Source organism: Homo sapiens, chromosome 6 (genome assembly GCF_000001405.40).
Source record: "Homo sapiens chromosome 6, GRCh38.p14 Primary Assembly".
Classification (NCBI taxonomy): domain Eukaryota; kingdom Metazoa; phylum Chordata; class Mammalia; order Primates; family Hominidae; genus Homo; species Homo sapiens.
The window spans coordinates 75,604,548-75,631,301 of NC_000006.12; the positions used below are offsets into that span (position 1 = coordinate 75,604,548).

The following is a 26,754-nucleotide window of genomic DNA, read 5'->3' on the forward strand; positions in this document are numbered from 1 at the left end:
CTTGGAAACGGGAGGCAGAGGTTGCAGTGATAGCGCCACTGCACTCCAGCCAGGGCAACTGAGCGAGATTCTGTCTCCAAAAAAAAAAAGCATAAGGAAAAGGAACAATTTTAGTTCCTCATAACCAATTTTCATATGCTATATTGAATCTTTCCAAATAAATGATATTTAATACTAATGTTTTCTGCTTATTTCCCATGATTCTTTTGGTGTCTTACACTTTTAATAATAATAAAATATTCCGGCCAGGCGTGGTGGCTCACGCCTGTAATCCCAACAATTTGGGAGGCCGAGATGAACGGATCACCTGAGGTCAGGAGTTTGAGACCAGCCTGGCCAACATGGTGAAACCCCGTCTCTACTAAAAATACAGAAATTAGTCTGGCGTGGTGGCGCGCGCCTGTAATCCCAACTACTCGGGAGGCTGAGGCAGGAGAATCACCTGAACCCAGGAGCTGGAGGTTGCAGTGAGCCGAGATCGCACCATTCGCACTCCAGCCTGGGCGAGGAGCGAAACTACATCTCAAATAATAATAAAATATTCCACCATAATTTGCTGCATATTTTGTATTACCAGGTTTATAAGTGTTCAAAATATTTCCCCATACATAGGCTCCTAGGATTTAATATTAAGACATCTACATATTACACTTTCTTTACTTTCCAGTCGAGTCCTTGAAAAACTAAACTAGGTTTTCATTTGCTCATCACATTTACAGCATCCTACTCTAACAGTCAGTGTACCACGGTGAAGTGCATAAGAGAGTCAAGGACTCTGCCTTTATTTAGTCTTCTGTCTTAGGTTCTGTGAAAGCATATCTCTGTAATAAACTGTGAAAAAGTAATGACTTTTTTTTCACCATCATATTTCTTGCACCTGAAACATATTTGTTGTTAATGAAATAAACCAGATGATAAACAGTATGATAAATACGGAAGACATAAACAGCAATGATGGGGAAGCCATTTTACATAGCATTGAAGTCAAGAAAGGCATCCCTGAGGAGGTTACACTTAATTAAGTAAACACCTTAACTAAGAGACACTTCAGAATATGGCAGAGGGGATGCGTGTAAAGATTGATTTGATAAACAAAAAGGCTGAAATGTAGAAAGCAAAGGAGAGAGTGATATGAGAGGCAGGAGATCTTTCATGCAGGATCATGAATAATTTTTATATCTTTCTCAGCGGGAAGCCATTGACGAGTTTGGCGCAAGGGGGTGTAATGATATGGTTTATCTTTTTTTAAAAAAAAGTTTGGCTGCTTTTTGTGGAATTAATTAGGGGGCAAGATTAAAAGCAAGACAATAAATTAGGATAATATTGTAGTAGTCAAGGTAGAAGTGGTCGGGGCTTCAATTAGCATGATGTCAGTGGAGACTGGGGAAGAGAAGTTGATAGGTTGAGGATATGTTTGGATGTAGAGCTTACAGGACTTGATGAACTGTACATTGAGTGTCAGAATAAGAGGAATCAAAAGGTTTTGTTTAGCCTGAGGTATTAGTGGTACTGCCATTTACTGAGATGGAGTAGACTGATAGAAGAATGAGAAGGAAATTAACAACACTGGTCATACTAAATTTGAGATGCCTGTTTGACATTTTTGCTCTGAAGTATGTTTTATATCTTTATAACTACTAAGATTCTAATTCCATTTCTTTTTATAGCTTCTGTAGGGAAAAGGAGACCTACTGGTTGTCTTTATTTATACAAAAGCACACTAAAATTGTATGGATTTCATTAAGCCACAGCTTGTGTTAAAATTTTCTACTCTCCTCTCCCCTCTTTGACTTGTTTCTTTCACTTCTCTTCACTAACTGTTGCTCATAACCCCTTTTCCACTTATGATAGACAGTTTTGGCAGGTTGCTCCCCTGTATTTATTCAGTCAACAGATACTTATTGAACACCTACTATGTTGTAGGCAATGACACTGCACTGAGAGGCATAACAGTGAGGGAGAAGAAACCATGTTTTTTTCATAGAGTGTTCAGTCTAGTGAGGAAAGTAAAAAATAATAAAATAATACTTTTAAATGTAAAATTACAACTGACAAGTACAGCAATCAGTGGTGGATTGTTTATACAAGTTGAACATCCCAAATTTAGAAATCCAAAATCCTCCAGAATTTGAAGCAACATGACCCCCCTAAGAAATGCTCATTGAATCAATTCAGATTTTTGGATTTGGGATGCTCAGTTGGGATAATATAATAAAATTTGCAAATATTCCAAAATCCAAAAAAAAAATCTGAAATCTGAAACATTTCTTCTAGTTTCAAGCATTTCGGATAAGGGACACTTAACCTGAAATCATGAGAATTGGATCTAATCAGGGTGGTTTGAAGTGGGTATTAGAGAACAGAAGGTAGAGAGGCAGTGCTTTCTAGGTAGAGAGAGTAAAATAGGGGAGCATGGCATGTTTGGGGAACTTAAGGGAGGACAATAATGGTGTCAGATAGGAGAGCGGTGCAAGATGATACTGGAGGTGACATCACATTTATTTCAAACAAGGTCAATAGCCGGGCATGGTGGCTCACGCCTGTAATCCCAGCATTTTGGGAGGCCAAGTTGAGAGGATTGCTTGAGCCCAGGAGTTGGAGACCAGCCTGAGCAACATAGTGAGCCCGTGTCTGTACAAAAACATAAAAAAATGATATGGGAGGATTCTTGAGCCCAGGAGGGCGAGGCTGCAGTGAGCCATGATCGTACCACTGCATTCCCACCTGGGAGTACAGAGCGAGACCCTGCCACCCAAAAAAAAAAAGGTCATCAGCTGCTACATGGAGAGAGCTTCAGAGAGGGGCAGCAGATTATCCAGTTAGGAGATGATTGGAATAGAGGACAAAGGTGATTGATGGTGGCTAGCTTGTTCCTATAAACTTTCTTTTGATATTCTACCTTTTCTTTTTTTCACTCTGGGGGCTCTAACAAGCCTACCTACTCTCTTATACATTTCTTCATTTTTGTACTGCACTTGTTCATATCTAGTTTTCTTTTCCTTTTTTTTTTAACCAAGTGAATTCCTTCTCCTATATTTTCTCCCGTTTTTCCTGAAGTAACTTTTTTCTGCCTTCCTTTCTAATATACATATACTACTACTTTAGTTTGTTTTCCTTTTCATTTCAGCCTGTCTTCCTTTATGGACCTTGTCTACTAGGTTGAAAAGAGTGATGCTAAACTGTTGCATGCAATGTTGTTCTCTACAGATACCAGCAAAAATGCTTCTGTCTCCAAATGAAAAGTGTTTTCCATTTCGCCTTAGCCAGTCTTTTATGTTATATATAAACTCATTGCAGAACCCAATCAGTTTGCCAGTTTTACTGGAGACCGTAAATACCTAACACTGTCTGTTGAACTAGAGCACAGCTTCTCCCAAACGATTGGCATTCCATGGAATATGAACAGGGTTTCTAGTTTCTGCCTACTTAGGGGAATACACCTCTTTTTCTTTTGATTGCATTACTTTTGGAAACTACATCATGGTGTCATTCCTTATTTACTCCTTACTTAAGTATGTTTATTTCCTGATTTCATCCCAGTTAAAGTGATAAATTCTGTTTATCATGTGAGTTCATGTACTTGAAACAGTAAAGTAGAACCTCACTTGGAATGAAAGTGATTTTCAGGCAAAGTTTAGTGGGTCATACCTGTTATCCTGAGATAACACTTCGGGAGGCCAAGGCAGGAGGATTGCTTGAGCCCAGGAGTTCAAGACCAGCCTGGGCAACATAACGAGGCCCCATCTCTGCAAAAAATACAAAAATTAACCGGATGTCACAGCATGCACCCAAAGTCCCAGGAATTCAGGAGGCTGAGGTGGGAGGATTGCTTGTTGCTCGAGCCCAGGAGGTTGAGGCTGCAATTCATGACACTGCACTTCAGCCTGGGTGACAGAGCTGAGAAGAAAGAAAGAAAAAAGAGAGGGAGGGAGAAAGAAAGAAGAGGAAAAAGAGGAAAGGAGGAAGGAAAGAAAGAAGGAAAGAGAGGAAGGAAAGAAAGGAAGAAAGAAAGGAAGGAGAAAAGAAAGTGATTTTCGCTAGAAATGCATTGAGAATATGAACTCAAAAGTCAGAATGCTGAGGTTCAACATCTGGCTTTACTACTTGTTAGCTATGTGATCTTGGATAGATTACTTAACTTCTCTGTTTTCTCAGCTATATAACAAGGGTAATAATTGTCGTTAAAAATAATAATTGTAGTTACCTTATAAGATTGCCATGAGGATTGAGGAAATATATATTACTTAAAGCAATTCCAGGCATATAATAAGCACTCCGTGTTACTTGATATTATTTATTTTATTAGCAGATAGAGAAAAGAAAAAGAGCTTCCTTTACTTGCTTGTCTTCTCTTCTATTTGAATTTTAGTTTGCATTGTTTTTCTTTCACTGACTACCTTTTTCTAGATATTAGCTGATTTTGACCAGTGTTGTAATGAGAGAGGAAAGAGAATGAAATTACATACTTTGTATGTCTAGACTTTCATAAATTGATTATTCCTGTTGCTATTAGAAAAGTATGTTGAATATTTGAGGAACTTGAGGTATAGAAGGGTTGTTTGGCACAGCTTAAGTTATTGGGGAAGTCAGACTGTAGCCTGGGACCCGACTTAATAGCTTCAGCTTTCTTCAGCATTTCCTTCCTCTCCCTTTCTCCCCGCTTCCTCATCACTTTGCTTCCCTATTCTTACTCTTACCTCTTTTTCCTGTACCTCCCCCCAAAGGAAGGGGCGACTGAACAAGAGAAGGAAAAATAATAAGTTATTATGGAGAAGTATTATTTATTGATGAAGCAGCACTTTTAAGAGGGCAAAAATGGAAAGCCACAAATCTCTTGAGGCCCAACTTCAGAAATTTACAGTGTTAACGTCTTCCACATTGTATTGGCCAAAAGAATACAGAGCCAGCCCTGATTGAAGGGGAGAGGGAGTAGATTCCACCCTTCAGTGGGAAGAATGACAAATAATTTGCAGCTATCTTTAATCTATACAGCCATCTTTTCTCTCCCATACCTACCTGGTATTTTTTCCCCATTCTTTCAACAGTCAAAGTATTTTTCAACAGTCATGTGGTATTTTAAATGACAATTCTTATGAAACCCAAAATCCAACTTTTGGACAGTTTGGGAAGCTAAAGAAAGACAAAACAAAATGGGCAACTTAATTAGTAATTTATTTCAAAGATATAAATAGCATAGAAACAGTCATTAGTTTAATGTTTTGTTTTTGTTTTTGTTTTTTGAGATGGAGTAGATGGAGTCTCGGCTCCGTTGCCCAGGCTGGAGTGTAGTGGCGCCATCTCAGCTCACTGGCTGACTGCAACCTCTGCCTTCCAGGTTCAAGCAATTCTGCTTCCTCAGCCTCCCTAGTAGCTGGGATTACAGGCGCATACCACCATGCCTGACTAATTTTTGTATTTTTAGTAGAGATGGGGTTTCTCCATGTTGTCCAGGCTGGTCTCAAACTCCTGACCTCAAGTGATCCACCTACTTCAGCCTCCCAGAGTGCTGGGATTAGAAGTGTGAGTCACCGCACCTGGCCTTAGTTTAACTTCTAGTTGATTGGGAATGGATTCAGGAATTTCTGAAACTAGGCAAGCATAAGTATGGACAAAAGAGGAAGAATGTTAGAAACTTTTCCTTCCTTTTGTTTTTTCTTTCATTTAGTGATGCCTGGGTCTTGCTCTCATTTTCATTACTTAAGCTCTTAGAAATGGTCATACTATTCACGATACTAAAAGTAAAACAGTATCTTGATATAAAATGCCAGTTAATCCACTAAGTCACAGACTGTTAATGCTCACAGTTACAGCACACTTAAGTTGTATACCTAAGTCATATTACTTAGAATGATGCAACAATGGATAATCCATTATTGTGAACTGCAAATGATGGTTGCCATCATCAGGTAATAAAACAATGGCTACAGTTACAGAAAGTGATAGATAATCTGTGCCATATCCATTTGACACTAAAAACAGGGTTGTTTTTGGACCCTAATTTTTTTTGTCTACCTTAGGGTTTTGTACTTCCCAGAATCTTCTGCATCCATTGGCAAAAATTATTAACTATTATCTTCAGAGTATATGGGGCTTTCAGTGCTAAAATTGGGATAGTCCCAGGCACACTGGGATGTTTGGACACTCTGCCTTGTCCTAGTTTAACAACAGCTACCTTGAAGCCATCTGAAATCAGCCTGGAGTAGTATGAAAACAGCTATGTTCTGATCTTGCCTTTGGAGGTTGTTTTTGTTTGTTTTGTTTGGGGGTGGGGTGAGGGAGGAGTTGCTATATCAAATACATTTTATAGTTTTTGAAGATGCGTTTTTTCCCCCTCCCAAATTCACTGCATTACAGTTTTTGAAACAGAACGGGAGAAAAAAAATAACAAACAGTGCTGGCATCCAATAGATGGTAAATTCACTTTTCATTTTTAATAAAGAGTGGACGACGAGGAACTAGAAATTCTCCTAGGCTTGGAGAATTTAAACTGTTTAGTAACCTTGTTGTTTCATATATTCAAAAATCTACAACTTTCTACCTTCATAACCTCCTACTTATGAATCAAGAACTAAATTCTGGAGACAAGATGAAGGTACTACTTAACTACCATGACCCCTGCTGACTCTGCTTCTGTGGAAACCAATAACTTCTCTTTCTTCATAACCCCAGTGGTCACTATTTGAATGAAGTGGGATTCCAAACATTTTGGCATTCAGTCTTCTGTTTTCAGCCCAGGTTGGTTTTCATTTTTTAACCACAGGAGATATAAAAGAATGATTTAGTAAATCATAATAGCAGTTAAGTCTGAAGCTGTTCATCAGCTTCTCCTTCACAAGTTTGGGTATCAGCTCCTCAGTCTCTTTTGCTTTCACCATTTACAGGCTTCACTTATTTCTTGAGTCTCTGTTAATTTAAGCTTTTAATGAAACTGTGCATCTTCCTGAATTACGTGTTTGCACTTTCAAAGTTAAAGTGTTTCTCAAATTTCATTGGTCTGTCTCACAGAATACTGAATTCCCTGACACTTTGATGATCCTCTCACTTTAAAGCATAAGGAACATTTGGAACTACTTATCTCATGCAGTCATTTCTCGGTTTAATTTCTGGCTTTAGAAGTTTGTGTGCTTCAGCTTGAGATAAGTGTATTTTTAAGAGATTGTGTATTCTGTGTAAAGGTAGCGCCAACTGCACTGCTTTGGAATAGGTATCATTGCTAGACTTTTTCATTCCATAGAAAGTTAAGGAGTTTCCAGCAACACCTGTAGCACTAAACTGCTGCCTGACTAACGAACTGAACTGACTATGCTATCATCTTGCTGAAAGGTACATAGAAGTAGATAGACTAGTGAAGCTGGGGTGCTAAGGGAAAGAACATTTTGGTTTTGGTAGCTCACAGAGGGGTCTAATTTAATATTACATCCAGAAATATAGTATTTAAAGACTTTATCTTGAAGTAGTAGTGATCTATTAGTTTGTCTTCTATACCAAGAGATACAGGTTTTGAAGGTCAGGGACTTGAGAAAGGCTTAGCTAGGTGACTTTTCTTCTTCATGTAGCATCTGCAGGGATGATTTGGTGGTGGCTTGTGTGGTTTGGTCGGGAAGTTCCATGTCTGCAGTCTAAAGACCTCTTCAGATGGCCTCTGCAGCAGGGTACTCAGACTTGTAACATGGTGACTCAAGGCTTTGGAAAATCTTGATAGTTCTTAAGAAAGACTTGGGCTGTAGCCCTGCAGAGCCACATAAAATTGCTTTTCGAACATACACATTTAATTCTCTCTATATTTTCTTTTGCTGCATTTATATTTCTAAGTTACGTTTTTCTCATATTCGTAATTGTTGTGGTGCGCTTATGGCTCATTGCAGTCTCAAACTCCTGGGCTCAAGGGATCCTCCTGCCTCAGCCTCCTTAGTAGCTGGGACTACAGGCTTGTGCCACCACAACCAGCTGATTTTTTTATTTTTGTAGAGACAGAGTGTCACTATGCTGCTCAGGCTGCTCTCGACTTCTGGCCTCAAGCAATCCTCTTGCCTTAGCCACCCAAAACGCTAGGATTATAGGTGTGAGCTGTCTGATAACCCCATGAGACGTAGAAATTAAAACATCACTACAGTGGGAGATGATGCATAGAAACAGGAAACAGGAAAACTTAAAAACAGTACTGAAACCACTTTGGAGATCAGTTTGGCAATACCTATTGAACTTGAAAATGCACATCCCCAAGGACCAAATCATTCCATTGCTAAAGGATACCCTAGGTCAGGTATCAGAAAACTATGCCCCAGACCAGGCGCAGTGGCTCACGTCTGTAATCCTAGCACTTTGGGAGGCCAAAACAGGCAGATCACTTGAGGCCAGGAGTTCAAAACCAGCCTGGCCAACATGGTGAGACCCCATCACTACTAAAAATACAAAAATCAGCCGGGCATCGTGGCATATGCCTGTAATCCCAGCTACTTGGGAGGCTGAGGCACGAGAATCGCTTGAACCCAGGAGGCAGAGGTTGCAGTGAGCCGAGATTGTGCCACTGCACTCCAGCCTGCGTGACAGAGTGAGATTCTGTCTTTAAAAAAAAAAAAAGAAAAGAAAACTATGACCCAGCCAAATTTGTCCAGCTGCCTGTTTTTAAGAGGCTCATGAGCTCAGAATGGCTTTTATATTTTTAATGACTGGAGGGAAAAAGTCAAAAGAAGAATGTTTCATGACACATGAAAATTACATGAAATTCAAATGTCACTGCCCTTAAATAAAGTTTTATTGCAACACAGCAATACCTATTTGCATTATCCCTGCCTTCTCATTGAAATGGCAACGTTGAGTAACTGACAGGGACTGTATGGACTACACAGTGTAAGATATTTACCGTCTGGCCTTTTACAGAAAAAGGCTGGTGACCTCTGCCCTAGAGAAATATACATGCACAAGGAAACAAACTTAAAAAAAAAAGTTCTTAATAGCAATATGAGACATACTAAAATGTTCATAGTAGCAATGTATGTAATAGTAAAAAGGTGGATATAACCTAAATTTCCACAAATAGGGGGATGTATAAATAAGCGATTATATTTATACTGTGGAGCACTAAATGATAATGAAAATGAAAGCACTAGCTTTTTTTTTTTTCTTTAACTCTTTGAAAGTAAATTTCAGACATGCTGCTCATTTAACCGTAATTACTTTATTGTGTAACTTACCCTTATTTGTTTAGGAAATATACATTCTCTTAAGTTACTGCAGTGTAGTTATAAAACTCAGAAAATTAACATTGATACAATACTATAATCTACAAACATTTTTCCACTTTCATTAGTTGACCTAAAAATGTTCCTTAATAGCAAAAGAGAAAAAATTCTGGTTCAGGATCTGATACAGAATGATGTATTGCATTGATTGTTATGTCCCATTTGTCTTCTTTAATCTGGAAATAGCTTTTCAGACTTTGTCTTTCTTGACCTTGACATATTTTAAGAAAACAGGGTGGTTATTTTGTAGTTTAATCCCAATTTGCGTTTATCTGATGTTTCCTTATGATTCAAGTCAGGTTATGCATTTTTTAAAAATATAAGGAATGCCATAAAAATGATTTTTTTGTTCTTTTCAGTGTGTCATATTGAGGGGACCATGATGTCAATTTGTCTTGTTGTTGGGGAAATTAACTTTGATCACTTAGTTAAGGTGGTGTTCACCAGATTTTTCCACAGAAAGTTACTATCTTTTTTTTTTTTTTTTTTTGTTTGAGACAGAGTCTGGCTCTGTCACCCAGGCTGGAGTGCTGTGGCGCATTCTCAGCTCACTGCAACCTCTGCCTCCCAGGTTTAAGCCATTCTTCTGCCTCAGCCTCCCGAGTAGCTGGGATTACAGGTGTGCACCACCACGCCAGGCAAATTTTTTTGTATTTTTAGTAGAGATGGGGAATTACCATATTGGCCAGACTGGTCTCAAACTCCTGACCTTGTGATCCACCTGCCTTGGCCTCCCAAAGTGCTAGGATTACAGGCGTGAGCCACTGCACCCAGCCACTATCTTTCTCTTTGAAATTAATAAATATTGTGTGGAGAGATACTTTGAAACCTGTAAATAACTTGTTTCTCGTCAGATTTCACCCACTGGTTCAGCATCCATTGATGATTCATGACTGAATCCCCCAATTATTAATATAATGGTTCCCAAGTGATTTTTCTCCCTTTACTGCACCAACAATAGGACCTTCACTATGTACTTGAATAGACTTGCTGATAGCTTATTGCTGGGGAGAAATTAGATGTTTGCTGAAGGTTTGGGGAGTTATTCCTGTTTCAGATTAAGGGAGTGCCTTTCTATTCCTGGTTTGCAAGTTTTTTGTTGTTGTTGTTTTGAGACAGAGTCTCACACACTTTTTTACCCAGGCTGGAGTGCAGTGGTGGCCTGATCTCGGCTCACTGCAATTTCCAGCTCCTGGGTTCAAGCAATTCTCCTGCCTCAGCCTCCCAATTAGCTGGGATTACAAGCATGCACCACCACACCCAGCTCATTTTTGTATTTTTAGTAGAAACAGGGTTTCACCATGTTGGCCAAGCTGGTCTTGAATGCCTGACCTCAAGTGATTCACCCACCTTGGCCTCCCAAAGTGCTGGGATTATCTCGCCTATCCTGCTAAGAGGTTTGTTTTGGTTTGTTTGAGTCTTGCTGTGTCGCGCAGGCTGAAGTGCAGTGGCATGATCTCAGCTCACTCAACCTCTGCCTTGTGGGTTCAAGCGATTCTCCTGTGTCAGCCTCCCGAGTAGCTGGGATTACAGGTGCGCGCCACCATGCCTGGCTAATTTTTGTATTTTTAGTAGAGACGGGGTTTCGCAGCATTGGCCAGGCTAGTCTCAAACTCCTGACCTCAAGTGATCCACCCACCTCGCCCTCCCAAAGTGCTGGGATTACAGGCATGAGCCACTGTGCCCTGCCTGCTAAGAGTTTTTGTTTGTTGTGAGTGGATACTGTAAATTACATTTATGATTTTCAAATGTTTACTTTTGCTTTTTAGAATAAACCCTGCTTAATTGTAATGTGTTATTTATATATCACTGAGTTTGATTTGCTAAGATTTTGTTTAGGTTTTATATCTGTCTTTTTGTGAGATTGCTCAGTAATTTTCCTTCCTTGAATGTCACTGTCAAGTTTAGGATCAAGTATTCTGACTTCATAAAATGAGCTGCAAAGTGTTCCTTTTTTATTTTCTGCAAAAGTTCAGATAAGATTGATGCTATTTTTTAAAAGTTTGAAAGAAATTAGTGGCGAAGCCTTCTGAGCCTGAGTTTTGATTTTTTGGGAAGATTTGTCATAATGAATTCAATTTATTTTATTGATATAGCAGTATTAAAAATCTTCTTTTGCTTCTTGTGTTCATTTGGTAACTTGTGCCCTCATAGACATTTAGGTTTTTGCTTTCTTTGGTCAACTATACTAGTTCCTATTCATCCACCGAATGTTTATCTTTTTTCACTTTTGTTAATCTCTCTTCTACTATTATCTCCTCTCTGGTTCTTTTTGTTCTTATGGGTTGCTACTTTTCTTCCTCTTTCCATTATTGTCATTTTAGTGGAGGATATGGAGAAAACTTTAGGTGTTTAATTTGTGATATTTAACTGGGATCTCTCCTTAACCTTTTTCTTTCCATCTCCTTAATTTTCTAACTAGAATACAGTGGACATAATTTTCTACTCTCATAATTACAAAGGTCAACCATAACAAGTTATTGAAATGTAGTGATACTCTCAAGGACTTTTGAAGATTTTAAGTTTTTGTCCCCACTCCAGGTTGCCCCCAAACTTTTAAAAATCTCTTTTCTTTTTATAATTTATTTTTTCTCTCACTGGAAATTATCACTTCCATGGAGGTTCTAATCTAATATCAATTAGGGTATGATTGAGTTTGTTAGAATTATGTGTACACAGCCAGGTGTGGTGGCACACGCCTGTAATCCTAGTGCTTTGGGAGGCCGAGGCGGGTGGATCACAAGGTCAGGGGTTCGAGACCAGCCTGACCAACATGGTGAAACCCTGTCTTTACTAAAAATACAAAATTAGCCGGGCGTGGTAGCATGCGCCTGTAATCCCAGCTACTCAGGAGGCTGAGGCAGGAGAATCACTTGAACCCGGGAGGCGGAGGTTGCAGTGAGTTGAGATTGCGCCACTGCACTCCAGCCTGGGCGACAGAGCAAGACTCCATCTCAAAAAAAAAAAAAAAAAAAGGAATTGTGTGTAAAGAACCCCAGTTCCTTTAGTGCATAAATATTACGACGTCTCTTTTGACTTTTGAAACATAGGTTCATTTTACATTGTGTTTTTAAATTTTTATTTATGTATTTTTGAGATTGTCTTGCTGTGTCACCCAGGCTGGATTGCTGTGGTGTGATCATGGCTCACTGCAGCCTCAACCTCCCAGGCTCAATTGATCCTCCGTCCAATCCTCCTATCCCAGTCTCCTGAGTAGCTGGTACTACAGGCACGCACCACCATGCCAGGCTAATTTTTTTGTATTTTTTTGTAGAGACAGGATTTTGTCATGTTGCCCAGGCTGGTCTCAAACTCCTGGGCTAAAGTGATCTGCCCACTTCAGCCTCACAAAATGCTTAGATTACAGGCATGAGCCACTGCACCCAGCCTTTGGTGTTTTAAAACTTTTTCTTTTGGAATACATTTAAATTTATATAGAAGTTTCAATGATGGTTTGGAGAATTTCTTTCTTTCTTTTTTTTTTTTTTTTTTTTTTTTTTTGAGACGGAGTTTCGCTCTTGTTGCCCAGGCTGGAGTGCAATGGCGTGATCTTGGCTCACTGCGACCTCCGTCTCCTGGGTTCAAGTGATTCTCCTGCTTCAGCCTCCTGAGTAGGTGGGGTTACAGGCATGCACCACCACACCGGCTAATTTTGTATTTTTAGTAGAGACAGGGTTTCTCCACGTTGGTCAGGCTGGTCTCAAACTCCCGACCTCAGGTGATCCGCCCGCCTCCGCCTCCACCTCCCAAAGTGCTGGGATTACAGGCAGGAGCCACTGTGCCCGGCCGGTTTAGAGAACTTCTATATAACTTTTACTCCGCCTCCACTAATGTTGCCACCAAATATAGCCAGTGTATGTTTGTCACAACTATGAAATTTAACATTTGTGTGATAGTGTTATTACTATTACCTGAACTACAAACTTTATTTTGGATTTAACCAGTAATTCCATTAACACCCTTTTCATATTCGAGAGTCCAATCCAGGACTTTGGATTTGATTGTCTTGTCTCCTTAGTATACTGTGTTCTTTCACAGTTTCTTAATCTTTCCTTGTTTTTCATAACCTTGACAGTTGTACAAAATACTGTATACAGGTATTTTATACAGTGTCCCTCAGGTTGGGTTTGTCTGATGTTTTCTTATGATTAAACTGGGATTATGAGTTTTAGGGAAAGGATCACAGTGCTGAAGTGCTATTTTCATCATACCATATTAAAGGGTACATGCCATGAATAAGACATATCACTATGAATGTTAACTATGATCACTTGGCTGAGGTAGTGTTTGTCAGGTTTCTCCATTGTCAGTTTGTTTTTCCTCCCTTTTATGTCTGTGTTTTTGACGTAAGTTACCAAGTTGAGCCCATACTCAAGGGAAGGAAAATTCATTTTTATCTTTGGAGAAGGGAGTATATGCTTATATTATTTGGAATTCTTCTGTAAGGAACATGTGTCCCTTCTTTCCATTTATTTATTTATTCATCTGTTTTTATCAGTATGGATTCGGGAATGTTTATTTTATTTAGGAGTTATAACCCAATGCCGATGTTATTTATTTTTGCTAAAATTGTTCCAACTTTGGCCGTTGGGAATTCTTTCAAGTTGGCTTCTGTAACCTTTTGACATGCCCCTGTCTTTAAAAAAAAATAATGATTTTCTTGCATTCTGACCCTGTAAGTTACACCAGGTTCATATTGGTGTTTTTTCTGCCTCTGGCCTAGAATCAGTCATTTCTTCTAGGAACCCTGGCTCCTTTTATTAGAGAGAATGGTATTTAGAAACCAAGATCTAGTTGTAGGTGTGTTTGTTGCTACTGGGGTGTCACTGCTTCTAGACCCTCTAAGAAAGCAGCTCTAGCTCTCTATACTAACCCGTGTTACAACATACCTGTACATCTGTGTATGTATTAAATAAATGTGAGTTCAGGCTGGTATGTCTGACTCTAACCTAGCACCATAGGGTTCATTCTGTCTTTCCTCTCTTGCTTATTTGTAACTTCTTTATTTGACAGGGAGAAACCTTGTTTCCATCATCTACTATTTATTTACTTATGTTTTCAATCCCAGTATACATGTTAGGAAGTTTCATGTATACTGATGGTTTGCTCATTAAGACTTATTTCCTCCTGTTCATGATATTTCTGAAACTTTTTTTTTTTCAGGCTTGCATTGAAGTTTTATATTTTTTAGAGAGGATTTATGTTTGCTTGTGTTAGTCACTTTCAGGCTTTTTTTTTTTTCCTTTTAAAAGCAGTTTTTTATTGTGGTATAATATACATAACATATAAGTTACTGTTTAACCATTTTTAAGTGTATATTTATGCAGTTCATTGGTATTAAGTACATTTATAATGTTGTGCAGCCACCACCAATATTTATTTTTGGATCTTTTAAATCATCATAAACAAGAACTGTGTACCTGTTAAACAGTAATTCTCCATTTCTCTACTTCCTTTAGCCTCTGGTAACCTTGATTCTACTTTCTGTCTCTATGAATTTACCTATTCTGGGTACTTCATATATGTGGAATCATACAATATTTGTCCTTTTGCATCTGGCTTATTTCACTTAGTAACTGTTTTCAAGGTTCATCTGTCTTGTATCCTGTATCCAATTCGTATCCCTTTAAGGCTGAATAACATTCCGTTGTGTCTATGTGTGTGTGTGTGTGTGTGTGTGTGTGTACATATGTACACACATACTGTATTTTGTTTATTAATCTGTTGATAGAAATTTGGGTTGTTTCCACCATTTAGCTTACTGTGAATAATGCTGCTATGAACATTGGCATACAAGTGTCTGTTTGAATACATGCTTTTGTTATTTTAGATGTCTCCCTAGAAGTGAAATTGCTAGCTCGTAGGGTAATTCTATGTTTAACTTTTTGAGGAACTGCCAAATTATTTTCTACAGTGCCTGAACTGTTTTGCGTTCCCACTAGCAATGCACAAGAGTTCCAGTTTCTCCCACATCCTAGCCAATACTTGTTACTTTCCATTTTTAAAAGTAAATAATAGCAGCCAGGCAGGGTGGCTCACACCTGTATTCCCAGCACTTTGAGTGGCTGAGGCAGGGAGGATGGATTGAGGCTGGGAGTTCGAGACCAGCCTGGGCAAAATGGCAAGACCTCACCTCTACAAAAAAATTTAAAAATTTCCTGAGCATGGTGGCATGTGTCTGTGATCCCAGCTACTCCATAGGCTGAGGCGGGAAGATCATTTGGGCCCAAGAAGTCAAGGCTGCAGTGAGCCATGATGGCACCACTGCACTCCAGCTTGGGCTACCTTGCCTCAAAAAAAAAAAAAAAAAAAAAGAGGAAAATAAGCTTTCCTAATGGGTGAGAAGTAGTATCTCATTATGGTTTTGATTTGCATTTTTTAATGGTTAGTGATGCTGAGCATCTTTTCATGGGAGGATATTTTAATTATGGGTTTTTCATGGCCTTGTAAGTTGTGAAAATTCTGGCTACAAACCCTAGTTAATTGTCATCTCTTATGATTAGGGATTTCCTGTCTTAGTTCATTCGGGCTGCTGTATTGAAGTCCATAGACTGAGTGGCCTTTAAACCTCACATTTCTCAGAATTCTGGAAGCTGGGAAGTTAGATCAAGAGGTCCAGATTCAGTATCTGGTAAGGTCCCACTTTTTCACAAATGGTGCCTTCTGGCTGTCTCCTCACAGAATGGAAGGGGCAAACAGGCTCCATTGGGCCTCTTTGATAAGGGCACCAATCCCATTCGTGAGAGCTGTGCCCTCGTGATCTAATCAGCTCACACAGGCCCCACCTCTTAATACCATCTGTATCTTGGGGTTAGGATTTCATCATATAAATTTGAGAACATTCAGACCATAGCACTGACCATGGGGTGGATGTACTTTATTTGTCTTTAGTTCAACTCAGAAAGCCAGAGCCAAGCTTAAGACATCAGAATTATCCCCACTGCCTCTTCAGTGAGTTTTTTGTTCTGTTTTGTTTTTCCCTAGTTCACCAAGTCAGAGCGTTGCCCTTCAGCTTGTCTGGTTTTCAGTCTGACATCTCATTTTGCTGGGGCCTTGAGGTTAACCTAATAAAGCCTGGGTTCTAGGACATCAGGTTTTTGGTCATAGGGTACCAAGAGAGAAATGCCATCTTTGGAATTTCATTTAGCTCTCTGGGTTCCCACTTTCTAATTGTTAATGGCTTCAAGGGGTTTCAGCCATGCACTTATAAAATTTTTTAAAATTCATAATGAGCACATTTAGTGTTCTGATCTAGAGTTTTTCAGGTTGTCAAGTTTTAACCACATTGCCAAAACCGAAAACGTTGTTTGTTTTTCTTCTGTTAAAAGGCAGGTATCGTTGAGTTTAAGGGAGAGTCTAGCAGTCTGGATATAGTTCTCATGAAGAAGGCAAGCAAACTATTTATAGGTACTTATTTCTAGAATCAGTGATCAAAGATGAGATTTAGGGCTGATTTTATATATATTCATACATATTCATGTGCCCTCCGTTTTTATTATAGCTTTCTAATCTGAGCTTCTTTGTGTAGCAAGCACATGTATGGATGATTATGAATTAGTAAAAACAGATTTTAATGTCTTCTTTTTCTCTTTGGAGGAAATCAAATGTTTACAAAAAATAGACAAAGGCAACCAAATTAAAACAAAATCTAGAATAATCAAAGAGCTTGGGAAATGCACATATTTGTTTTATATTGAATAGCTCTATTAATGAATACTTACTGCAGTTTGTTTTTATTTCAGCTTTGGCTAGATCAGAGTCTAAGAGAGATGGAGGTTTTAAAAATAATTGGAGCTTTGATCATGAAGAAGAAAGTGAAGGAGATACAGATAAAGAGTAAGGATTTTTTTTTCCCTCAGATGTTTTATAAGAATAAAACTTCTCATTAGAAAAACAATTTCTATTGTATGGAAATATTTTTAGGAGTATGGTATTCTTAAGAAAACATATAACTCTTTCACAGTCGCTTTAAGGAAAGAAAAAGCAATTCCTTATTGATAAATAATTTTACTGTTATTTTCTCCATCTTTTGAAATGTATAAATATATGCTTGTAGTACATGTAACCTTACAATTAAAAATTGACTGTACAATGGAAGGCTTCAAAATAAGGAAATTGTTTTTTGTTTTTTAAAAAGGCATTCTGTTCAGGCAGCAATTTGGAAATCCACCATTTATCATGAGTAAGTGAACCCAGATAAGACCCTTGCATTTTGTATGAAAGTTTAAATACTACAGTATCTTTCTTCCCCAGTTGTGACCACCACCCCTACCACATCCATCTTAGGTCAGATTCTCACCAGAGAAAGCAGAACCATTATAAATGATAAACACAGGTGTTTACCCAGACAGAAGTTAAGCAAAGTGTTCATTACACTTTGTTAATCTACTTGGAATGACTGTTGTGTAAAAATTTTAAATGATAGTTTTAATAGAACTTTTTGTTTGTCATGAGATTTGTTTTTAAAGTTCAACATCTAGTTTTTTGGCCGGGCACAGTGGCTCATGCCTGTAATCCCAACACTTTGGAAGGCCGAGGCAGGTGGTTCATTTGAGGTCAGGAGTTCAAGATCAGCTTGGCCAACATGGTGAGACCTCATCTCTACTAAAAATACAAAAGATTAGCTGGATGTGGTGGCATACACCTGTAATCCCAGCTACTCAGGAGGCTGAGGCAGGAGAATCACTTGAACCCGGGAGGTAGAGGTTGCAGTGAACCCAGATCATGCCATTGCACTCCAGCCTGGGCGACAGAGTAAGACTCCGTCTCAACAAAACAAAAACAAACAAAAAAACATTGTTTTTAGTTTTTTGATTTATTGATCTGGTTTTCTGCTGGCCAAAATAAACAACAAATTCAGAGATCCACAAATATACACACAAAGTTCTACCAAAACTATAAATATGTTAAAGAAATTTTTATACAAGAAGTCATTCAGAATATATTGGCTAAATATTGTAGGTGCTTCACTTCTGTCTGGGCAACAGCTCCGTTCATCATTACCACTTTATGTGCCTTCACCGATGAGATGTTGATTTGAAGTTTTATTTGAAGGAGAGCTTTGAACTGGTAAGTCTCTCATTTAAAGTCAGTATTTTATGGTTTTCTTTCTTTCATTTCTTTTATACTTTTTCTGATTACTTTAAAATATAAAACAATTATTCAGTATGCATATAGTTTTGAAAAATTAGAATTAAATCTGAAATTAAGCTGCATAGAAAATATACCACTTTTTAAACATGTTTATAAAATGTTTACGAGAGACTTTTTAATCATTAAAAAAAAGTTTGGATGTATATAAACAGTAATACAACATTTTACATTTTTGTGTAAATATCTAGGACTTTACAATAAATAGCTGAGTTGTCTTCGAAAACGTTGTATTTGACTTTCTTTGATGGCAGATTTACTGTAGTTATACATTTTTTAAAAACTGTCTTTACGGTGCTAGCTGTCCTGTACATTTCATTTCTGAATTGTACTATTTGGTTCATCATGAGTCTCAGGCACATCAGCTTTTTGAACATGTATCTATTAACATGAACCTGTTAATAGATACATTAGTTTAATCTTCTAGAATTTCAGGCCGGTGATTTCTCAATGAAGGGTTGATATTTTCAAGAGTGGTAGAAGTATAACTATTTTACCATGGTAATACCACTGGAATTACTTTCTTTTCATTAGCTAAGGCTTTCTTTCCTTTCAGTTCATTTCTTTGTTTCTCTATCTTTCTACCCTTAATTTTCAATCTAAGACAAAAAGGAAAAATGAATGAGAATATATAAAATCCATAACTAAATAAACAGAATTATGTGTTCATTTATTGTAGGGTTCAACAAACTATGATCCATGGGCTAATCTTGCGTGCCACCTAATTCAGTTAATAATTTTTATTGGAACATAGCCACATGTATTGTTTATGGCTGTTTTCATACAACATATGAGTAGCTGCTACAGAGACCATATGGCCTGCAAAGACTGTGGTTTGGCCCTTTACAGAAAAAGTTTGCTGATTCCCTGAATTAGGTGAACATAGAGGATAAAACCTCAGAATTTAATATAAGGATTGTGATTGCTACTTATGTTTTTTTCCCCTTATTTTCTGTGTAGTGGGACAAATCTGCTCAGTGTGGATGAAGATGAGGATTCTGAAACCTCAAAAGGAAAAAAGGCAAGTGTTGCTTAAAATATTTTCTTCTTTTACATTATATACAAAAAAATTGTTACCTCAAAAGATTTAATATTTTTAAATTATAAACCCCAGTTACCCACTTTCTCCACTCCAGAGGCAAATGGTGTTCCCAGTTTGTTATTTATCACTTTGGGAATGTTTCATGCATTATAAAGAAGAGAAATATTTCCACCTCCCATGTTACACAATTGGTAATATACTGTGCATGGTTTTTCTGATCTTCCTTTAACTTAATATATTATCTTGGAGACCATCTGTAAGAGTTCATAAAAAGCACCTCATTGTTTTCAGTGAGTGCATAGTATTCCATTGTATTATATACCATTAACCAATTCCACCTATTGATGGATATTTACAGAGTTGTCAACTTTTTAATTTTTTTCTAAAATAATCTGTAAATTAGCCTTCTATATGGGTTATTTTGCACACATACAAGCGTATCTGTAGAATGAATTCCTAGAGGTTGCACTGCTTTATCAGGACAGGTCCATTTCTAATTTTGGCATACCAGATTTACACTTGTTCCATCGATATCTGAACGTATCTGTTTCCCCACACATCCGTCATAATGTCTTCAACCTTTGATCTTTGCAAATGAAAACTAGTATCTCAGTGTAGTTTTAATTTCCATTTTATTTTTTGTGAGGTTGAACATCATTTCATATGTATAGTCTCATTCTTTTTTAGAATAATTGTCAGTTAATATCCTTTGCCCATTTTTCTATCTGGTCTTTAGAATATTATTCATAGGAATTATTTTTATATTTAGTCTAAGACACACTTTTTTTCACATTTTAACATCTTTGAAATCTAGATGCATCTTATTAAGATAGCATGATATGCTTTAATTATTTAAAAAAAATGTTTTTGGCCAAGTGTAGTGGCTCACGCCTATAATCCTAGCACTTTGGGAAATCAAGGTGGGAGAATTGCTTTAGGCCAGGAGTTTGAGACTACCTGGACAACATAGTGAGACTCCATCTCTAAAAAATAAAAAATTTTGCACTGTAGTACATACAATAATGGTGTATTGTATAATAATGTTATAGGTTTGATGAAATAAGGTATTTTGGAGAAATTGGCCCTTTGCTGTGATACTAGTTGCTAATATATATACGTGTGTGTGTGTCCTTTTTTTTTTTTTTTTTTTCAGACGGAGTCTGGCTCTTGCCCAGAATAGAGTGCAGTGGCGCAATCTCAGCTTACTGCCACCTCTGTCTCCCGGGTTCAAACAATTCTCATGCCTCAGCCACACGAGTAGTTGGGATTACAGGCATACACCACCATGCCTGGCTAATTTTTTTTTTATTTTTATTAGAGACCGGGTTTCACCATTTTGGCTAGACTGGTCATGAACTCCTGGCCTCAAGTGATTCTCCCATCTCTGCCTCCGAAAGTGTTGGGATTACAGACGTGAGCCACCGTGCCTGGCCATTACTAAAATTTTAACTCAGTTTTTTCACTAGTCTTTTGTCTTTGCTTATGGTGGCTATTGCCATGGGGAAAATATATTTCCTTATGTCATCAGATGTATCATTTTTCTTTTAAAGGCTTTTGAGTCTACTGTCTTTGTTCCTAATGATGTTAATTTAATAACTTATTTGGGGCTGGGCACAGTGGCTTATGCCAGTAATCCCAACACTTTGGGAGGCCAAAGCAGGCAGATCACTTGAGGTCAGTAGTTCGAGACCAGCCTGGCCAACATGTTGAAACCTCGTCTCTACTAAAAATAGAAAAATTAGCCAGGCATGGTAGTGGGCTCCTGTAGTCCCAGCTACGTGGGAGGCTGAGGAAGGAGAATTGCTTGAGCTCAGGAGGCAGAGGTTGCAGTGAGCTGAGATTGCGCCACTGCACTCCAGCCTGGGTGACAGAGCGAGACTCAGTCTCCAAACAAAAAACAAAACAAAAAAACCCACTTTTATTTGCTTTGTCTTATTAGATATATAAAATAGTTTCACAATAGTAATACCAACATAATTACTAATAAAATGATTTTCAAATTATTTTGTTTCCTTGTTTTTGATGACACTAGCAGGTATATGTATAGTTCCACTAGGAATGTGTATTTAAATTAGTATATTTTTAAGTAATTTGAAATTGTTTATTTCTGTTTGGTATTCTACCAACTAAATAGAGAGTTAGGTTTGTTGTTGTTGTTGTTGTTTTTTAATTTTGTTTTTTATAGTGAGGAATTGCATTTTATTTTCATTTTAATTTTTATTATGTAAATTTTTTGGATGGTTTCAGCATCATATCTCAAAAGAAGTAATTTTCAGAGAAATCTAATTTTGTCTTGATTCCCTTTATTCTTTTTTCCCTATAAGTGACTTGTTTTAAAAATTATGTGGCTTAGCTTTTTATATATATATATATATGTAAGCATATACCACTTTTCTTGGAAAAACTATACACACTGTTGACACCTTGATTTTTTTACTTGACAGTATGTTATGTAGATCACTCTACAGCAAAGTATTTACAAATCTTTATCATCCTTTTTATTGTTATATAGTACTTCATTGGATGGATATACTGTAGATATTCAGTTTGTCCCTACTGATGAATAGAGATTTTTTTCCCCCAGTCTTTTGCTATTACGTATAAGACTTCACTAAAACCTTGTGCATAGATATTTTTTTCATATCTGTGTAGTATATTTGTGGGATAGATTCCTAGAATTGAAGTTGCTATTTCAGAGGTGAAATTCACATGTAGTTTTGCTAGATACTGCCAAATTCCCTATCTAAAGGTGTTAACATTAGCCATTCCCACTAGCAGTGTATGACTCTATTTCCCTGTAATCTTGCAAAATATGTAGTCATACTTGAATTTTTGCTGATCTGAACATAGCACCTTCACATATTTCCTGTATTTACAGTGTAAGAATTTAAACAACTTTTAACATTTACTTTTTTTTCCGTCTTTCTGGGTTTTTTTTTCCCTCTGCAACAGCTCTATTTTATCATAATTTGAGGAAATTTATTTTATTTATTTATCTATTGAGACTGAGTCTCACTCTGTTGCCCAGGTTGGAGTGCATGGTGCGATATCGGCTCACTGCAACTTCTGCCTCCCAGATTCAAGTGATTCTCCTGCCTCAGCCTCCTGAGTAGCTGGGATTACACACGGACACCAACAAACCAGCTAACTTTTGTATTTTAGTAGAGCTGGGGTTTCACCATGTTGGTCAGGCTGGTCTTGAACTCCTGACCTCAGATGATCTACCCACCTTGGCCTCCCAAAGTGCTGAGATTACAGGCGTGAGCCACTGTGCCTGTCCTGAGGAAATTATTGAATTTGATGTTTTTCTCTTAATACTGTTCAGTTTTTCTTTATAAAGTTATTCATGCTGAAAAACTCTAAGGTTTTTCCCACTGCAGGTTTCCTAGCTTTTATTTTGACATCTGGATTTCCTGAAGTGCTATTTTTTAGGTGTTTTTTAGATAGACAAGAAAAAAGTAGAAAAAAAGGAGTGAACTTGGTAGATGAAAATAAGATGTGAGCAGGCACGGTGTCTTTTGCCTGTAATCCCAGCACCTTGGTAGGATGAAGCGGGAGGATCGTTCGAAGCCAGGAGTTTGAGATCAGCCTGGGCAACAAAATGAGACTCTACCAGAAATAAAAATAAAAAATAAAAGATGTTTTCTGTCACTAACTTATATAGGGCATTGGTCTTCATGTACACATATGTAGCTTTCAGATTGCTTTTTTTTTGAGACAGTCTTGCTCTGTCACCCAGGCCAGAGGGCAGTGGTGTGATCTCAGCTCACTGCAACCTCCACCTCCTGGGTTCAAGGGATTCTCCTGCCTCAGTCTCCTGAGTGACTGGGATTACAGGCATGGTGCCACCACGCCCGGCTAATTTTTTATATTTTTAGTAAGAGACGGGGTTTCACCATGTGAGGCTGGTCTCGAACTCTGACCTCGTGATCTGCCCGCCTTGGCCTCCCGAAGTGCTGAGATTACAGGCGTGAGCCACCACGCCTGGCCTGCTTTCAGATTTCTTATGATTTTTTGTAAAAGTATGTGCTTTATTACATATTTTTTAAATGTAAATATTTATGTTTTAAAGTAAAACCTACAGGACACATTGATTTATTTAGTGAACTGTAAAGATTATTCTGATATGATAGTATCATCTATTTTAAGTATACATGGACCATCTCTTAACAGTTAGAAATTTTATATTGTGCCTTTTCCGTCTTAAATTCATATTTCTTCTGTTCAGTTTTCCCATAGAATCTTAATATGATATACTTTTATGTAATTGAAAATCTTTTTATTATCCTATCACACTTTAATAGAGATATCCTTCACTGAAGATAAACTTCACTGAAGCTTAACATTAAGTAGAACTCCTGCTACTAAAGTTTATTTTTTTAAAAGCTGAGTTGTCATTATAATTATTAATGAACACTTGATCTAAAAAGTATTATTACAGATATTTATAATTATTAAATTTATTATGCAAAATAATATTGGAAATTTATCTTTTAAAATGGGTGAGGCTGATGGTTTCCCTTTTTATTCATTTAGTTCATCTATTCATTAATCTGTATTACCTGAATGAAACTTTCAGAACAATTTTACTCTTTCTTAAAAATTGACACATAACAATTGTACATATTTATGGAGGGAAATTTCTTTTTAAACTTTTTTGTTAGATACCAGTGCTGACAAATCCTGGTTACATTCTAAATAGATAAATATGGAAATAGTTTTGCTATAGTATTATCATACAATTCTTTTTTTATTTGAGACAGAATCTCACTCTGTCTACCAGGCTGGAGTGCAGTGGGGCAATCTCGGCTCACTGCAGCCTCTTCCTCCTAGGCTCAAGCGATCCTACCGCCTCAGCCTCCCAAGTAGCTGGGACTACAGGTGCCTGCCACCACGTCTGACTAATTTTTGTATTTTTAGTAGTTTTAGTGGTTTTGCCATGTTGGCCACCAGGCTGGTCTTGGAACTCCTGACCTCAAGTGATCCACCCACCTTGGCCTCCCAAAGTGCTGGAATTACAGGCATAAGCCACTGTGCCTGGCCACAGTTCTTTCCTTTTGAGTTAAATGCCAAAAATGACATAGTAATCAAACATTTAAAAATTAAAAATAATTTGTAATCCAGTCATTAGGTACTGGCCTTCCAGATTTTGGATAAATATACTAAAAAAGCTTTACCAAGATTTGAATAGCTAGTATACTTGTTACTTTTAGGTTTCTTTGTTTTGTTTTGTTTTAACCAAATACTCTCAGAAGTAATTGGAAAAACTGAAATCTTGTTAATTTCTATATGCTTTTGCCAATACAGCCTTTTTTTATTTTTTATTTTTATTTTTTTTGAGACAGAGTCTCCTGGCCCCCAGGCAGGAGTGCAGTGGCGCAATCTTGGCTCACTGCAACCTTCGCCTTCCCAGGTTCAAGCAATTCTCTTGCCTCAGCCTCCTGAGTAGCTGGGACTACAGGCGTATGCCACCATGTCTGGCTAGTTTTTGTGTTTTTAACAGAGACAAGGTTTCACCATGGTGGCCAGGCTGGTCTCGAACTCCAGACCTCAGGTGATCCGCCCACCTTGGCTTCCCAAAGTGCTGGGAGTACAGGTGTGAGCCACCATGCCCAGCCAGATTGAGGATTTAAAAGTTGATTACCATGACTAAAGCTACCATGCTTGATAATCCTTCAGAAGATCTTTGTGTGTCCCAGGGATATATACATATATCTACTTGGATTTTGAATAGCTTACAGGTAATGTATAGGTCTGTCAAGCTAAAGGAAGAAACTGAGGCAAAATTAATATAGTTAATAAGTTAATAGAGTAAAAATTAATATAGTGAGTTTATGTGAGCCACATTTGAGGACTGCAACCTGGGAGCATAGATTTAGGTTCTCCCACATGTATGCTTTGATTAGCAGCAGATATGAGTGAGTTTTTTAAGGAAAAAAGAAGAGACTATTCCTAAGTTGTTTACCAAGAATTTACATTAAAATAGCTAACAATAGATATGGATTGGCCATACTTTGTTCTTTGTATCACAAATTCCTGGAACATGAAGATAATGAATGAGGGCCACAATGTGCAACTTGTGATAACTTTTTTTTTTTTTTTTTTGAGATGGAGTCTCGCTCTTGCCACCCAGGCTGGAGTGCAGTGGCATGATCTCAGCTCACTGCAACTTCTGCCTCCTGGGTTCAAGCCATTCTCCTGCCTCAGCCTCCTGAGTAGCTGAGATTACAGGCATGCATCACCACACCCGGCAAATTTTTGTATTTTTAGTAGAGACGGGGTTTCACCATGTTGGTCAGGCTGGTCTCAAACTCCTAACCTGAGGTGATCCATCAGCCTCGACCTCCCAAAGTGCTGGGATTACAGGTTTGAGCTGCTCGGCCAACATTTTAGGTAATTTATCTGCTAGTCAGGAAACTACCGGCAAGAAAAAGCACAAAACACCTTTAAATAATTGCCTTTGGGCATGGATCAGGGGCTATGACTGAAGTCCCTTACTTATGTCTCTCTGGGCCTGATAAATTTTGCATATCTCACAGAGCTCAGACTGCTCTGAGCTATTTTTCTTTTCTCAGGTCCATATGGATCATTGGTTTAAACTATTATAGACTGGTTTCTCCATTTGAAAATGAGTGTGGAATTAAGAGAAATCCTTTATTAAATTTAGTTCACAGTGTCTTCATATCTTTCCCCTTCTCTTTCACAGAATCTTCTCTTTGTCTTTGGGCTTCTGCAGTTTCACTGTGCTTCTTTTAAGGGATTTATATCTTTTGTTAGTTAAGAAAACATTTTAGTCATTATCTCTGTGGATTTTACCTTTCTACATTATTATTTCTAGACCTCCTAATAGACATAAAACCATCATTTAAAAAAAAAAATCCGTAACCTATATTTTATGTTTAAAAGCAAAAAAGGAAAAAAAATGGCTAATGGAATGAAGAAGTATATCTCTGTACCGTATTCTGAATAATTTCTTTAGCTCTATCTTCCAATTTACTTTTATCTTTAGCTCTAAGCTGCTATTTAATCCATACATTGGATTTTTTTTTTTTACTTTTAAAAGATTTCAATGACATTTATCATTTATAGAACTGCTGTTGGTTCTCTTTCAAAGTTGTATTTTCGATAGTGTGTCTAATTTTTTACTGTTTCAATTCTTTGTTTTTCAGAATTTAAGTGCTTTTAACATACATATGTCTCTAACTTAATGGTTTCTATTAGGTTCTCTTATTATCTGATATTCTTCGGTGCTAAACTTCCTGAATATCAGTACTTTACTTAAATTACATGATGTGATAATTTTGGGTGGAAGATAACATT

General features: G+C 37.6%; 1 protein-coding gene and 1 pseudogene across 3 annotated transcripts in view, besides 1 other annotated feature; one reads left to right on the top strand and one right to left on the bottom strand.

The window, feature by feature from the left end:
• Positions 1 to 26,754, top strand: part of SENP6 (SUMO specific peptidase 6) — a 116,402-nt gene that overhangs the window by 2,668 nt on the left and 86,980 nt on the right. For all 3 annotated transcript variants that reach the window (NM_015571.4, NM_001100409.3, NM_001304792.2), the window contains exons 2-3: positions 16,985 to 17,078; positions 19,353 to 19,413. In NM_015571.4, coding sequence (NP_056386.2) covers positions 16,985 to 17,078; positions 19,353 to 19,413 — 155 coding nt within the window. The remainder of the gene's footprint in view (positions 1 to 16,984; positions 17,079 to 19,352; positions 19,414 to 26,754) is intronic.
• Positions 2,564 to 3,064: an enhancer, noted in NCBI's record as "H3K4me1 hESC enhancer chr6:76316827-76317327 (GRCh37/hg19 assembly coordinates)". NCBI's record gives its function as "activates a minimal SCP1, AML or CMV promoter by ChIP-STARR-seq in naive H9 embryonic stem cells {active_cell/tissue: H9 hESC(naive)}" and the evidence as "EXISTENCE:reporter gene assay evidence [ECO:0000049][PMID:30033119]".
• Positions 6,507 to 7,454, bottom strand: LOC100421091 (LSM14A, SCD6 homolog A (S. cerevisiae) pseudogene; annotated as a pseudogene).